We start from the raw sequence: 15447 nt of genomic DNA, 5'->3' as shown, positions 1-15447 counted from the left end.
GATTCAGTGATCTCCCACCAGGTCCCTCCCACAACATGTGGGAATTATGGGAGCTACAATTCAAGATGATATTTGGGTGGGGACACAGCCAAACCATATCAATCTGTAAAAAGGGTCCCAGTATCTACCTTGTTTGTTGTTTGTGAGGATTAAATTGAAAGCATGTAACACACTGTGTGGCATATAATAAACTAATAGTTAATAAAAGTTAGCTACCTTTATGGTCAGCTTTCCCTATGAAAAGATAGAATTTGGAAAAGAGCACATTAAAAGCAAACATTTCCAAGGCACCCACAGTTGAGTTTGTGTTCACTGTGCAAAGAAGCTCAGCATAAAGGTATAATTTCTATAGTCAGAGTTCCTTCTTCCTTCATCTCTTCTTTAGGCATTTTTTTTCTCTATCCTTTTGCCAGTTTGGTTCCGGGCACAAAGTTGTTTCTGGCTTGATCTATCAGATAAAGCCCAAGGCTGGTCCTAGCCACAAAATAATCTTCTCTAGCTGCTGCTGGCTTGTCCAAACCAACGTGAAATCCAAAGCCCTTACTCTTCTCCCATAATGAGATGCTCTATTATTTTTAAAAACAAACTTGGAGCCGGGTGTGGTGGCTCATGCCTATAATGCCAGCACTTTGGGAGGCCAAGGCGGGAGGATCACGAGGTCAGGAGATCGAGACTATCCTGGCTAACATGGTGAAACCCCGTCTCTACTAAAAAAAAAAAAAAGAAAAATTAGCCAGGCATGGTGGCAGGCACCTGTAGTCCCAGCTACTCGGGAGGCTGAGGCAGGAGAATGGCGGGAACCTGAGAGGTGGAGCTTGCAGTGAGCCAAGATTGCGCCACTGCACTCCAGCCTGGGTGATAGAGTGAGACTCCATCTCAAAAAAACAAAACGAAACAAAAAAGAAAAACAAAACAAAACCATGGAAAAATAAAAAGCAGATTAATACAGAGACTGTTTTTCATTCCAGTCTCTTGTATTTCAAATTAATAGGGTTTTGTACAAAGGTGGAGCCTGTGTTTCCATGGTAGAGCATTTGGAAAGAGGAGTGTAAATTTCGGTTCCCATCTTGAATCTAGCTATGAGCTATTTCTTTGCTGCATCAGCTTTTACGTTTTTTTTTTTTAAATAATTTCTATTGTTGCATCTTAATCTCTGTCTAACGCCATCCCCTTAACTCCCTTCTCAAAGCAGTTTTTACCTGCGTGGTACCATCTAACTGGTCAATCTCTTAGGCATAAAGCAGCAGAAGCCACAGAGGAGGATTCAGGTAGATCATTAGTCAAACAGGAAAGGCTCAGAGGTCACGTAACTTACTGCTTCTCAAACTGTTTTCCTTAGAACCCTATGGCCCGTGATGGTTTACAGGGACTTTATGGGAAAAAGGCAGAGCTGGGCCTCAAACCATTCAATCACAGCATCTCTGCCTCATCTGTTTTACATATGAGTGTTCAGAATGCAAAAATTTTTAAGAGGCTCATTTTTAAAAACCGCATTGAAAACCACAGATATAGCTCAATTCTTTTGTTCCGCAGATGAGGAAATGTAAGTCCCCTCCCTGCATAGGAAGTAATTACCTGTAGGTTGCAGACAGCTCCTTGGTGGATGAACTGCAGCTAGGAAAGGGTTTTCAGTCGTGGCACAATCCAGATATTATTGTTTTCCCTATTTCAAAGAGGAAGTGACTACGGGAGTTTGTTTGGGAATGGTTCTCAGCCAGCAACGCATTTGGAACCAGCAGGCTGCCTCCACTCACAACCTCTGGCTGTTTTCTCCACCTGTGGGTTCTTACAATTTGGGGAAGAGGCGGGTGCTGGTGAAGATTGTGAAATAGGGAAAAGGTGGTTGTTTTTCTCATATCAGCCTTGCTAGAATGTTCCTTTTTCCTATTACACCAGACATATTCATCACCCCAGACCCAAGATGTCTGATAAACTTTATCTACAGTGAATGTAGCTAGCCCAGTGTTCAGCTTCTTGTAAGTCACCCCAGAACCCAGAGGCCATAGCCACTGGCCACATTGTGGTGTCCAGCTGTGGGGCACTCAGGACTGTGCTTCAGAAGGGATTTCCACAGAGTTCTGTCCACCAAGCCCTGAGGTTTCTCTCCCATCACTTCGTGCCTCAGATGTATTCTTGACCAGTGGTTCCTGGTCTTTTTGGATATCATGACTTTTTCAGAAAATGTTTAAGATGACATTGGGGGCTGACACTAAGTTACCAATATTTTATGTCCTAGTATCAATTAACATCTATTATTGTAAAAGAGGCTGGACGTGGTGGCTCACACCTGTAATCCCAGCACTTTGGGAGGCCGAGGCAGGCGGATCACAAGGTCAAGAGATCGAGACCATCCTGGCCAACATGGTGAAACCCTGTCTCTACTAAAAATACAAAAATTAGCTGGGTATGGTGGCGGGTGCCTGTAGTCCCAGCTACTTGGGAGGCTGAGGCAGGAGGATCGCTTGAACCTGGGAGGTGGAGGTTGCAGTGAGCCAAGATCATGCCACTGCACTCCAGCCTGATGACAGGACGACAGAGCGGGACTCCGTTTCAAAAAAAAAAAAAAAAAAAAAAACCCAAACAAACAAAAAAAAGGAAACAAAAAAAGATATTCTAATACCAAAAATGTAGGAAAGACGTAACTTGAGAAAAGGGAGCTCTTCCCGAGAAAGAGTACTTTACATCTTACACTACTGATTCTGCCTCATCCTATTTTTGTCCACTTGGGGGATCAATAATTACCTTACCCTGACCTGGCCCAGGCAATGTTCTGGGCCACAGGCTCCTCAGGTTCTGCAGCTTCTGCAGGTCAGACATAGGGCACCTGGGGCACCATCAGAAACACCTCCCGATTAGCTGGCAAGAAAGCATGTCAGTGTCACTCCAAGGGGAGCAAACAGGCTAGAGATGACCTCGTCTAGCTTTGCTTCCCACTGACATTTACAATGTTCCAAATGAGACAGAGACAGGCTATCGCAAAGTCACATCCATTCACTGATGAAAAAGGATGTATGTTTTCTATGAATCTAAGATGACTAAGCTCTGTGGTCTGGGCATTTCCCAACCAGATGGGACCATAGCAAGGACAGTGATGACACTAGCAATGTATTCTTGGCCAAATGTATTCTTAGCCAATGGTTCCTGGTCTTTTTGGATATCATGCCCATGGGTGGGCACCAGCTACCAGTGGGGAAAGCCAGCTGGTGATTAGAAACCATATCTAGCATGGTTGAAAACGGGATCTATTTTCTCACCCAATATTGTAATGTTAAAAATGTTTAGATGTTATGTTTAAAGAAATTGGTTAGCCGGGCATGGTGGCACACGCCTATAATCCTTGGGTATTTTGGAGGCTGTGCCGGGAGATCGCTTGCACCCAGGTCAAGGCTGCAGTGAGTTACGATCGTGCCACTGCACTCCAGCCTGGGTGACAGAGTGAGACCTTGTCTCTTAAAAGAAAATTAAATTAGAATACAATGAAAAACAGAAACAACATTGAGTATAATTTCTTCTTTGGAAAAATATACAGAAATCATTTTTACCAATAAAGCTAAAAGATGCAGCCAGGCACGGTGGCTCATGCCTGTAATCCCAGCACTTTGGGAGGCTGGGGCGGGTGGATAACAAGGTCGAGGGATCGAGACCATCCTGGCCAACATGGTGAAACCCCATCTTTACTAAAAATACAAAAATTAGCTGGGTGTGGTGGTGCACACCTGTAGTCCCAGCTACTCTGGGGCTGAGGGAGGAGAATCACTTGAACCCAGGAGGTGGAGGTTGCAGTGAGCCGAGATCTCACCACTGCACTCCCGCCTGGCAACAGAGTGTGACTCCGTTTCCAAAAAAAAAAAAAAAAAAAAGCTAAAAGATGCTCATCCATAGAGCCGAAATAAGCTATGTGGGGAATCAGAACAGGATTGGATTTGGAATTGAAAAACTGGGACTTGAAGTGCAGGCTTGCAACTTCCTAGCAGTGGCACCATGGATGGCCATTTAGAGAGGCATGTCATTCAGTGCCAAAAACATGGAGTTCTGAAGGCACATCAACCTGGGCTTGAATACTGGCTCTGCCACCAAAGCCATTTACTGACAGCCTTCATGCCTTTTCACACGAGTGGTGGAACTGTGTGATCACAGTGCACCTTCTAATGCATTAGTCTACAAAGACTTTATAGAAAAAATGGAAAGAAGAAAAGCTTCCATTCACCCGATGAACAGAAAGAATTTGGATCTATGGCGGTTTTTACCAGGGCTGAGTCTTCCAACGAAGCCTGCATCTCCATCCTTTGATACACATGAGCAGGGCCCCCCGCATGCTAAGGTCCACGGCCCACCCCACCCCTACAGTCTTTTGTTAATGAGCCATGAGCAAACCATACACAGAAAGCAGCTTCTTTTTTCTTCAATTTAATTGAAGTTACTTAGAAAAATAATCAGGCTTGAATGGCTTTTCCTGGAGGAAGGTTCATGAACATTTTCACGCTTTTGTTGGCAATGTGGAATTCAGCTTTCTTTAACAGTACAGCAAGATACAGGGAGCGTTTTCTACAACAGGCTCTCTACTGCATACAAATATGTGAAAAAAGAAAATCACACTCCACAAAGATGTGACATTACATGTCCATATGCCATACTGAGCATGCTCATAAGAAAGTAGTATGGGCAGCTCCTTCTGGACCTAACAAAGTGTAGCAGACTGAAATTTGCCTGTTATCAGCCAAGGGTTAAGCGGATTCTAGAAGGCCTTGTTGCCTGTAGGGTTCTAACTGGTTGTGATGGAAAAAGGTTGGAGGAAATGCTGGTGGTGGGAACTCGGGGGAGTGATGTGGTCAGTCCTGCTGACATAGAGGTGGGCAAGGAAGGGATTTGGTCACTGGGATTGCACAGAATGGCGCAGCTGAGATTGTGTGTGTGTGTGTGTGTGTGTGTGTGTGTGTGTGTAGGGGAGGACTGGCTAGGAAAGCAAGCAGAGTGCCTCTGCTTCTTCTGCCAACTCTATCTCAGCACTGATCCAGACCCCACCAGCCAAGCATTTGTGGGACCCGCACACTTTGCTCTGGAGCTTTCTAGTAGCCTGGATTAATCGACCCCTGTGCTTCATGCCTTTGCCACCAGGAGAACCAGTGCAACTGAAGTTTCCACTGCCTGCTGCTCTCCTGTGGCATCCACATCCTGAATAGGCAGGAGGGTGCAGCCCACCTGGTGCACAGGGAGGAGGAGGAACGTCCCCTCTGAGATACCACAGGTCAGCAGACCACCTCTTCCCAGACCAGCTGGGGAGGGCAGGGAGGCGGGGTCTGGAGGAGCTGCGGGAATCATCTAGAGCTTTCCAACCAAAGGGATAAAGTAAGCAGGAATGTCCTTGCAAATACTGCCCTGGCTGTACCTGGTCTTTAAAACACAGCAGCACCTTTGAGAAGTGGCTGGGAGATGGGACGCCTGCCTGTACTTTTCTCCAGCTAAGCATGCATAGAAAGCAGTTTCAAATATTCCTCTTTAAAAAACACAAACTTTCATTTTCCAGGCACACTTCACAAGTGGATTTCTTTAACCAAGGACACAGAATACTTTCTACATTCTGCAAAAACAGTTGAATCCATTTTTTTTAAAGTTTCAATGCCATTAGAAAAGAAAATGTGAACACAAAGCAAAACACGGGGAGAAAGAGTCCCTCATTCCAGAAACCTATTGATGTCATGTCCCCTGAAGGACAATCTTTCTCACTTAAGAGAGAGAAGCCAGATGAAAGGCCATCTTCACATGACAGTGAGCAGGCTTGCACAACTGACCAAAGACGGACACAGAAATGCAAAGCAACGTGAATTTCCATTGAAAACCCCCCAAAAAGCACACAGTGAACGATTCCAAACTATGAAACTGAAGAAGCACTCATCAAGAGATCATCTGTTCCCACTGAGCATCCTTTTGAGCCTGAGGAGTAGGGAGCCACCCTGGGCCCTATACCCCACTCACCCTCTCCTCTCTTCCTTCTGTCCACACCACCCAAGACTTCCTCCACTCCCTCTGGGAGGGATAGAATTGTAGTCCGTGGCAGTATCCAGGATTAGAACCATTGCTTCATTAAATAAAGTACCTCTGTTGCTATAAACCAGATGGAGACTGTGGTGCTATTTTGTATTTTTTTTTTAATGGAAGGGTGTTGGGGTGGCAGTTTTTATCCTTGAAGACCTCAGATATGCTAAGTCAACCTAAGCAAAGTATACTCGGTGGAACCCTAGCTCTGTGGGGTGATCTGCAAAATAGAGTATCCTGGTCATGTAAGTTCAGGAAATGCTACAGACTCAAGGATTATTTTTGGGGATTCACCATGCACAGCACACATTGAAGGCTGAAAAGTCCTTGCAGAAAGGAAACTGACTTAACTTTGTTTCTTAAGGATATTTGACCACAAAACCCTTAGTCTGCATCACACCAACCTGATGCCTCCTGGAACCTGTGTTCTGTAGAATGCGTATTAGAAAATGTTGGACAACCTGTTTCATTATCAGAAGTCCCATTTCTGAGGACAGTGTTCTCTGCCTGGAAATAAGGTCCAGATTCTCAATTCCAGGGACAGCCAAGGTCTGTCACTCTACCCAGTAAAACACATTGCGTAAATCTCCATCCATCAAGGGTATAGTTGCTGCGCCCTTCACAAAGGGGAGAGAGCTCGGAAGAAGGTACACAACGTTTTATAAATAGCTTCAGCTACCTTCTCCGGCCCACATCTCACTCACGTTAAATAAAATAATTTCCCCGGTGAGATGTTGCAGCTGCTGCCCACTGAGCTTGCTGTGAGCTTTACAATACAATCTTAATAGTTTCTGTGAATAAATTATTCAATTTTTGTTTGTTTAGAATATCCTCACCCCTTCACTATATACGGCATCAAAAACAAAACAAAAGGCAAAACTTACCCACACCCCATCCCACCCTCCCCTATTATTAAAACTATTATTATTATTATATACAGTAGCTGCTACCAACTCATTCACTAGCTGTAAGAGGGATGTGGCTCAAACTTCAACTGAGAAGCATCAGCAATGGCTGGAAATGAGAAGCATGTTTAGATGTTAATTAGCAAGGAACAGGAAATGAAAAGTTTCCAGGCTTCCAGAGGAAATGGGGCATGGATTATGGAAGGCTGTCCTTGCTGCTCATGCATGGCAGTTACCAAGATGCTGATAGTCTTTCAGCCTCTGGAGGACGTGAGAGGGTGTGCATGTGTGTATGTGTACAAATAGTCCACCTCTGACCTTCATGAGGGGTAAAAACCATTGCAAATCCCCAAGTGTACGAGTCTCACCTTGGCATTTCACACTTGTACGTGGCAAGCAGTAGAAGACAACACTTCTACATGGGGATGTGGTGCTAGGCTGAATGGAGATGACAGTAGGAGGCACTTGAGGAGTGTTCCCCTTTCCTCACCCAAGGCAGACATTGCTAATCAACCACAGCACTCTTCCACACTGTGCCTGGAGAATCCATTCTGGGGCTTAAAGGCAGACATTACCCATCAGTTGGAGCAGGCACATGATAGGACACATTTTTTTAGCATCTTTTCTGTTGGTCAGTGAGCTTGGGATCACTCACGAATATAAAGTGGCCTGCTCCGAATGTGAGGTTTTCAAATATGGGCCATAGAAAAATGTAAATTTGTAGGGGTCATGGACCTTCTGCTGTTGCTCATGAATAGTCCAAACCTCATGTCAAGTCCATGAATAATATCAGGGGTTTGCTAATTGTCGAGCTGGATGCTCTATGTCACATAAAGCTTTTTGAGGGCCAAGACTATTGGGTTTGTTCAACGCTCTATCTTCAGGGCCTAGTATATAGTAGATGCTCAATAAATATTTGTCGAATATAAAGCAATAGCCACTTCACCTTCACTGCAACTGGCACCGCCAGTTTAAAATTCCTGTTAAAAAAGCCTATTCTATCAGATTGCTAATTCTGGTGAAAAATTGTTACAACCAACTTTCTCCTTGGGTTAAAAAAAAATCACATTTCTTTAGTGCAAGGGACTTTCAGGTCGATTGGAATTGGTTTGGAATGAGTCCCTTGCAAAGATGACTCTAAGTGCAATAGCAACCTACTTATTTCTAGCAGAAATTCAAGAATGGTGGCATCCATACACATGACAATGGCTGTTATCACATGACTCCATGAGAGGTTAGTAAGGAGAACATTCATGCCCCCAAATGAGCTGTAGCAAGCAAAGCAGGAATCATAGATTTCTTCTGGAAAGATGTTAGAATTTTGCTGCCACAAAAAGAAATAATGAGACCATGTTTAAATAACTATAAATAATATTAATTAGAATTTATGGAATGCACAATTCATGGAATTCACCAGAACACAAGAAACCTTTGAGACAGTGTTGCAGTATTCACTTCTACAGACAAGGACGACCCATCCTATTTCCCCTGCAAAGACAGCTGTCCTTCCCTACGAAGGATTTTAAATAATTCTCACTATGCTGCTCGCAGCATCATCCCCAAAGAAATATTAATTTACAAAATAACCCAATATCCATATAATTCTTTTGACAAATAAAAATCTTAAATTAAAAAGCATGATTCTCTCCCTCTCCCCACCCCCTTTATTCCAATTTCAGGTAGCTTGGCACTGAGTAATTGAACATTAAAAAATCGAGTTTGTAGACTTCGTACAGCTGCGTTTGGTGCTCTGAGCTGATGTTCTGGAAGAATTCTGTGGTCATTTCATCAGTAGTTCTCGTAGACTTTGCATAGGTGGGGAACTTCAGGTAGCTGCCCACTCCTGCCAGCTGCAGGACGTAATTAGAATCCTCTTCCAGTGTCTCGTACTTGCCCACGAGGTCATAGTGGATGTGGCAGGGATGGCAGAGTGAGTAGACGGTTTGCCAGTGTTCGTTGAAAGGCTCCTCCCGCTGGGTGTGTGGGTCGATGAGATAGGCCACAAACTCCTCGAATTTGACATCGTCCCCTTTGCGCAGGGCCTCCTGGGTGGCGTTCTTCCGCTGGCGTTTGATGATCTTGGTGCCGTACCGCTTGTGGAAGGAGATGTTGTACTTCTGGGTGAACTTGTTGCGGTAGGCGGACACTAGCCTCTCGAAGGGCTCCCGGACAAACAGGAACTTCATGTAGCTTTTCAAGCGGTGGTTGATTTCTGGGATGCTGTACTGGTTCAGGGTCTTCAGGTTGGCGGAGACGTGTGCCTCGTTGGCCGGGATCTCCATGGGGTCGCTGTACTTCCCCCGCCCGGTCAGGACCATCATGAGCCGCTTCCAGTTGGTGCAGGCCACCTTGGGCACGTAGCAGTAGATGAGCTCGTGGTCCTCATCCACCACCAAGTGCTTCAGGTCGTTGGGGGTCAGCACCCTCCGCTTACGGCTTGTGGCGCTGTTGGCTCGGCACGTGTCTGTCACCTGGTCCCGCCGCATCTGGTGCAGGACAGCAGTGTTTGAGAGCTCCAGCTGCAGAGGAGACACAAGACGAATAAGAACTCAGTACTTGCCTGAAACATTTCCACTTGGCTACAAGTAGATCATAAATCCACCCGTTCAAACACATATCTAAGCTGGGTGCAGTGGCTCATGCCTTTAATCCCAGCACTCTGGGAAGCTGAGGCAGGAGGATCGCTTGAGGCCACAAGTTCAAGACCAGCCTTGGCAACATAGTGAGACCTCATCTCTAAAAAAACTAAAAAATTAGGAAGGCATGGTGGCGCACACCTGACATCCCAGCTACTTGGGAGGCTGAAGCAGGAGAATCACTTAAGCCCCAGAGTTCAAGGTTACCTTGAGGTATGACTGTGCCACTGTGCTCTAGCTTGGGTGACAGAGCAAGACCCTGTCTCTAAACACACACACACACACACACACACACACACCCCACATGGATCCAGACCTCATGATGTATAAAGTGCTCTGCTCAGCACTGCAAAGAGACATAACCTAAATCACTCATAGTCTAGGAGGTGCCAGGGCAGAGAGCTGTCAGCCTCAGTAGAGGGCAAAGGGAAATGCTTGGGAAGATGTGTGTGTTCCTCTGAATTCTAAGAGCAAAAGTTTCTCCCCAAAGGCCATTCACTCCCAGTCCAAACCAGTACTCACAGTCTACCCAGAACAGGAAACAGGAGGGCACTCTGCCTGCTCTGCCACCACCTGCGTCTCCAGCACCCAGAGGCTCAGAGACCTTCACGGAGTGGTGGCACCCTACTGTCGGATTCCTGCCTTACCTCCACCACCACTCATGAAAGTTCAGTATGGTCCTTCTTTTATATAAATGGAATAATATTAATTGTGATTAAAGTTACAGAGAAACTGGGGGCACAGGGCTATGGAATAGTTGCTCTGGAGCTACAGATGAGGTGGTGTCTTGGTTGCCTCCTTGCCCCAGGAACCAAGCCCCCATTCATACACTGGCCTTTTGGGGTTCTCCATAGCCCAATGCCAACCTACTTTTCCAGCCTGATTCCTACTCCTCACCCTTTCATAACCGGAGGGGGGGGTCCCGAGAAACCAATGATTCACTCTTTCCTCTTTGCCGCAAGCGTTCCTTAGGCTGGGCCCATCTGGGATTCTCCCCTCTCAATCTCTGCTGGTATAAACTTGACAATTCTTTTCTTTTCTTTTTTTTTCCAGAGTCTTACTCTGTTGCCCAGGCTGGAATGCAGTGGCGCGATCTCAGCTCACTGCAACCTCCGCCTCCAGAGTTCAAGCAATTCTCCTGCCTCAGCCCCCCGAGTAGCTGGGATTACAGGCACGCATCACCATGCCCTGCTGATTTTTGTATTTTTAGTAGAGACGGGGTTTCACTACGTTGGTCAGGCTGGTCTCAAACTCCTGACCTCAGGTGATTGGCCAGCCTCAGTCTCCCAAAGTGCTGAGACTGCAGGGGTGAGCCACTGTGCCTGGCCCCAAACTTGACAATTCTTCATGGCCCCACACACTCCCCTGCCACACAAGTGGAATAACCATTCCCTCCACTGAACACCCACAACACTGAGTGTGCTTCATAGCACAACCCTCCTGTCTAGTTCATTCTTGGTTTTCTCAACTCCTGTGGCCACTCACTTCACAGGGACTCGGAGCCCCAGAGTCACCGCCTCCTCCAGGCCAGACTGTGGGTGGCTTTGAGTCCTGAGAATGCAGCTGTATCCGTGAAATCCTCCAGTCACCTGGACAGCCAAGTCAGTAGAGCCTAGGACTTGAGTGCAACCCAAGTATCTGCCCCTGCTCCTCCAACTTTGAACCTCAATCTGCACAATTTTTACTAAAAGGTGCACAGGGCCATTGGGATGGGCCTAAAGTAGGGCCACTGATGAGTTTGCTGGGGAACTGAGGGGCATCATGGTAGCCACCAGGGAGAAGCCATTGCACCCTGCATTAAGCTCCATGTCCATCTCCTCTCATGGTCCCCAGGACAAAGGATGGTGATGGTCACCATGACAACAGCAGACAGTATGACTAAGGAGCTACTCTGTAGGAGGCACCTTCACAGGTGATTTAAATACATTATGTTTAATCTTCCCAGCAACACGCTGAACTATAACATGCCATCGCCACTAAAAATTTTTATACCCAAGGGAGGAAGCAAACCAAGACAGAGTACCAACACTTTGCAAGGTCTATGTGTGAAGAGTATGGTGATTCTCTCACTGCTTTAGCCTCACAAATAACTGGTGGAAATCTGGAAAGAGTTGCTAGTATCCCCCGATGTGCATTCCCCTTTGCAGTCTGACACTGACACTCCTCCCATCAAGAAGCAGAGACTCTATTTCTCCAGTTCTTTGAATGGGGGCTGGCTGTGACTTGCTCTGATGAGTAGAATGAGGTAGAAGCAACGATGAACACGTTCTGAAGCCTATTAGGAAGCCCTGCAGTTCCTAGCCTTCACGCTGTTGGAACGCTGCCCTGAGACAGTCATGCTATGGAAAGACCTGTCCAGCCTCCTGGAGGATGAAGACTGGGGCACTGCAGACCAGCACCAACTGCCAGCCATCCACGGACCACAGTGATGTGAATGATCCCAGGTGAGACCAGCAGACCTGCCCGATTACCTACCCACAGAGCTGTGGCAGGTGACATATCAGTGCTGTGTTAAGCCACTAAGTTTTGGGGTGATTTGTTGCCCAGCAATAAATAACTGCAACAGGAGAGCTGAAAAACAGGAGAGCTGAGGGTCCTAGCCGGGATACGATGCTGAGACCCTCAGCCAGATTCCAGAGAAGCAAGGGCACCATATATATATTTTCGGGTTCCACTTGGTAAAACCAGCTTGGCCTGGAGTTTCCCAGCTTGGAAATAACTGGCAAATTACCGACCTCTGGTTATTCACAGACCAAATGCCACCACTCAACAAATTTATCCCCACTATAAAGGGCAGAGCAATAATCTATATGTGCAAAGAGGCCTGGGCTACTGAACCACGGATCCAGTTTGCATGTTATTATGACCCAAATATGGGGCCTGGGCCTTTCTTGGCCTTTGTTTCCTTGCCTATGCAAAGGAGATCCTCACTCCGATGCCTTGTTAGGCTGGTGTGAGGACTATAAGGTGTGTACTCCGTGGCCTGAACACAGTAGATACGCAATCAGTATTATTTCTTCCTTTCCTCCCTCTCTAGGCTGCCCCTGCCTTGCCTGTAGAAAGAGGCAGTTAGATTAGCTGACTGCCGGGGTCTTGGCCACCTTTAATGTTGGGTAGAGCCCAGTTTCTTCCAGGGTAGCCAACTGGTGGCCATGTATTCTTTTCTGGGTCCCACAGAGAATCTTCCAGAATATTCTTCCTTAGTGCCTGGGTATTGTTTTGTCTTGCTGAGATTTTGCCACAAAGGCTCAATGCCCAGTGGTCATGGGTCCCCATCAATCCAAATCTCCAGTGATGCTATTTTTTAGTTCTCCAAGTATAAGTGACACTAGGCATATGCCAAGAAATATCAAAAGCAAGCTGCAGAATTTTCTAATTTTCCCTCCTGCACAGTATATATCAGGATGATGATGACACCTAACACTGACTGGGTGAGTGCTCGTTGTGAGCCAGGTAATGCTCTTCATGCTTCACACTGACTAACTTCTTTAATGCAATCAGTAATAACGGAGATTATTAGGATCTCCATTTTACAGCTGAGGATCCGTCAGACGCACCAACACATGAATGAGAACGTGGAAAACGATTTGTGGAGCACTCCTTGTTCACTACCTTGAGGAGATTCTCCCAACATTTGTAAAGCTGTGGTGGTCTCGGCATTGCCTTCTGTCAACGAGGAAACAGGCTGAGACAGGCAAAGTGACTGCCCAAGGTGCCTCCTTCTAAGAGAAGCAGAACTGTGACTTGAGCCAGAGTGTGTGACTCAGATCTATGCTTGTCACACCATTCTGGCATGAAGTGTCTGCCTTATCAAATAGAGGTACCACAGAGCAGGAACTTTGTCTTTCCATAGCGATATCCCCGGTGCTTGCAAAAGTGCCAGCCCCATAGGAGATGCTCCATAAGTGTTGGTTGAGTGAATGAATGAATGAATGGCTTAATAATCTCTGTAGGGATACTTGATCTGTAAGCAGGAAGACCCCTCTAGTTAAAGAAATTTCTAGGCCAGGCGTGGTGGCTCAGGCCTGTAATCCCAGCACTTTGGGAGGCAGCAGCGGGCTAATTACTTGAGGTCAGGAGTGTGAGACCACCCTGGCCAACATGGCGAAACCCCATTTGTACTAAAAATACAAAAAATTAGCTGGGCGTGGTGGCGGGTGCCTGTGATCCCAGCTACTCGGGAGGCTGAGGCAGGAGAATTGCTAGAACTCAGGAGGCGGAGGTTGCAATGAGCCGCGATCGCGGCACTGCACTCCAGCCTGGGCGACAGAGTGAGACTCTGTCTCAAAAATACATAAATAAATAAATAAATAAATAAATAAATAAGTAAATAAATTTCCCAATTGTTTGTTGATTATCATAAAGTTCTTTCATAGAGCTGTACTGTGACAAATAATGTCCCTCCCAAATTCATGTCCACCCAGAACCTCAGAATGTGATTTGATATGGAAATAGGGTTTTTGCAGGTGTAATTAGTTAAGATGAGATGATACTGGATTAGGGTGGGCCCTGACCCAATGGGTGGTGTCCTTATAAGAAGAGAAAGCAGAGACACAGAGACACGCAGGGAGAATGCCACGTGAGGACAGAGTCGGAGACTGCAATGATGTGTCTCCAGGCCAAAAAATGCCAAGGACTGCCGGCCACCACCAGCAGCTGGGAAGAGGCAAGGAAGGATCCATTCCTCTGGAGCCTTCAGAGAGAGCATGCCCTGCCAACAGCTTGATTTCAGACTTCTGGCTTCCAGGACTGTGAGAGAATACATTTCCTTAGTTTTAAGCCACTCAGTTTGTGGTAATTTGTTATGATGGCCTCAGGAACCTAAAAGAGGAGGTCAATCATTCAAGTGATAACTTTGAGCAAGTTGGTACTAAACTATAAGTTTAAAGAGAAGATAACATCATATAAGAGGCTATTTTATATAGAAGAATAAGGACAGTGTATTAGGGTACTTGTAAAGTACAGTGAAGATAAGATTTGAAATAAGAAGGTCTGGGCTTGATCCTGGGCAAGAGCCTTACCCTTCTGAGTCTCAGTTCCTCTATTTGCAAAATGGGGATAGTACCACCTACCCCGCAGGGGTGGTGACTACAGCAAATAAGGTACATTTCAGCATTCAGTAAATAAGATCAACTCTAGTACAGGATTTGGACAAGGTATGGCACAAAACAGGTAGTTAATACGTAGGCATTCTTTTATCAAAGAAGAAAAAAGAAATCTGAAAAAGAACGCCTGGATAGGAATCTCAAAGACAAATTTCACCAGCTCTGTAATTTTGTTGCAGGTCAGCCCTAGGTCACTGGATTCAATTAATAATTATTTTGAATAGGAAAACTCTGACCTTTGCAATTCATGACTTCTTAGCCGATGTATTCATCACCCTAAGAGAAGCATTCATGGGCCTCTTGGGCTATTGAACAATGCCATTAAACAAAACCAAACCTGTGTTTAAAGGAAATGAAAGGACTAGGAAGGAAACAGGGCCCATCAATTCTGCCATTTGAATCACTAAGGACAATTCTGAAGGCAATAAGTTACTAAGATGAGCAGAGAAATAAGGGGATCTCCCCCTCATCACCCTCCCAACCTCTTTTGAGCTGGAGACAATTTTCTGGCCACCTGAATCCCCAGGGAGGTAGCATGCCAGTTAATACTGCATTCAGGACCACAAAGGCAGGAAAAATGGAAATGACACCAGCATATCATTTTACATTCAGTTGCAGAGGCGGAAAATAACTCAGTGGGGCTTTTAAACCTGGTATTTGAGGTTTCTTTCCCCTCCATTTCCTTCTTCTCCACAGCAGTTTAAGGGGCAAATGGTGCACCTGCCACAACAAGGCACACACAGTTTCCCCTCAGGAAGACTCTGGGGT

General features: G+C 46.0%; 1 protein-coding gene across 4 annotated transcripts in view, besides 3 other annotated features; it reads right to left on the bottom strand.

The window, feature by feature from the left end:
- Window positions 2996-3145: an enhancer, noted in NCBI's record as "active region_6936". NCBI's record gives its function as "activates an Ori minimal core promoter by ATAC-STARR-seq in GM12878 lymphoblastoid cells {active_cell/tissue: GM12878}" and the evidence as "EXISTENCE:reporter gene assay evidence [ECO:0000049][PMID:35858748]".
- CHST11 (carbohydrate sulfotransferase 11) overlaps window positions 4392-15447 on the bottom strand; it is a 305067-nt gene continuing 294011 nt past the window's right edge. For all 4 annotated transcript variants that reach the window (NM_018413.6, XM_047428914.1, NM_001173982.2 and 1 more), the window contains one exon: window positions 4392-9457. In NM_018413.6, the coding sequence (NP_060883.1) occupies window positions 8603-9457 (855 nt within the window). In that variant the 3' untranslated portion in view covers window positions 4392-8602. The remainder of the gene's footprint in view (window positions 9458-15447) is intronic.
- Window positions 14728-14777: an enhancer, noted in NCBI's record as "active region_6935". NCBI's record gives its function as "activates an Ori minimal core promoter by ATAC-STARR-seq in GM12878 lymphoblastoid cells {active_cell/tissue: GM12878}" and the evidence as "EXISTENCE:reporter gene assay evidence [ECO:0000049][PMID:35858748]".
- Window positions 14767-15344: an enhancer, noted in NCBI's record as "OCT4-NANOG hESC enhancer chr12:105144840-105145417 (GRCh37/hg19 assembly coordinates)". NCBI's record gives its function as "activates a minimal SCP1, AML or CMV promoter by ChIP-STARR-seq in primed H9 embryonic stem cells {active_cell/tissue: H9 hESC(primed)}" and the evidence as "EXISTENCE:reporter gene assay evidence [ECO:0000049][PMID:30033119]".

Source organism: Homo sapiens, chromosome 12, assembly GCF_000001405.40.
Source record: "Homo sapiens chromosome 12, GRCh38.p14 Primary Assembly".
Classification (NCBI taxonomy): domain Eukaryota; kingdom Metazoa; phylum Chordata; class Mammalia; order Primates; family Hominidae; genus Homo; species Homo sapiens.
Note: the sequence above shows the minus strand (reverse complement) of the source record. Positions and strands in the feature narration are given on the sequence as shown.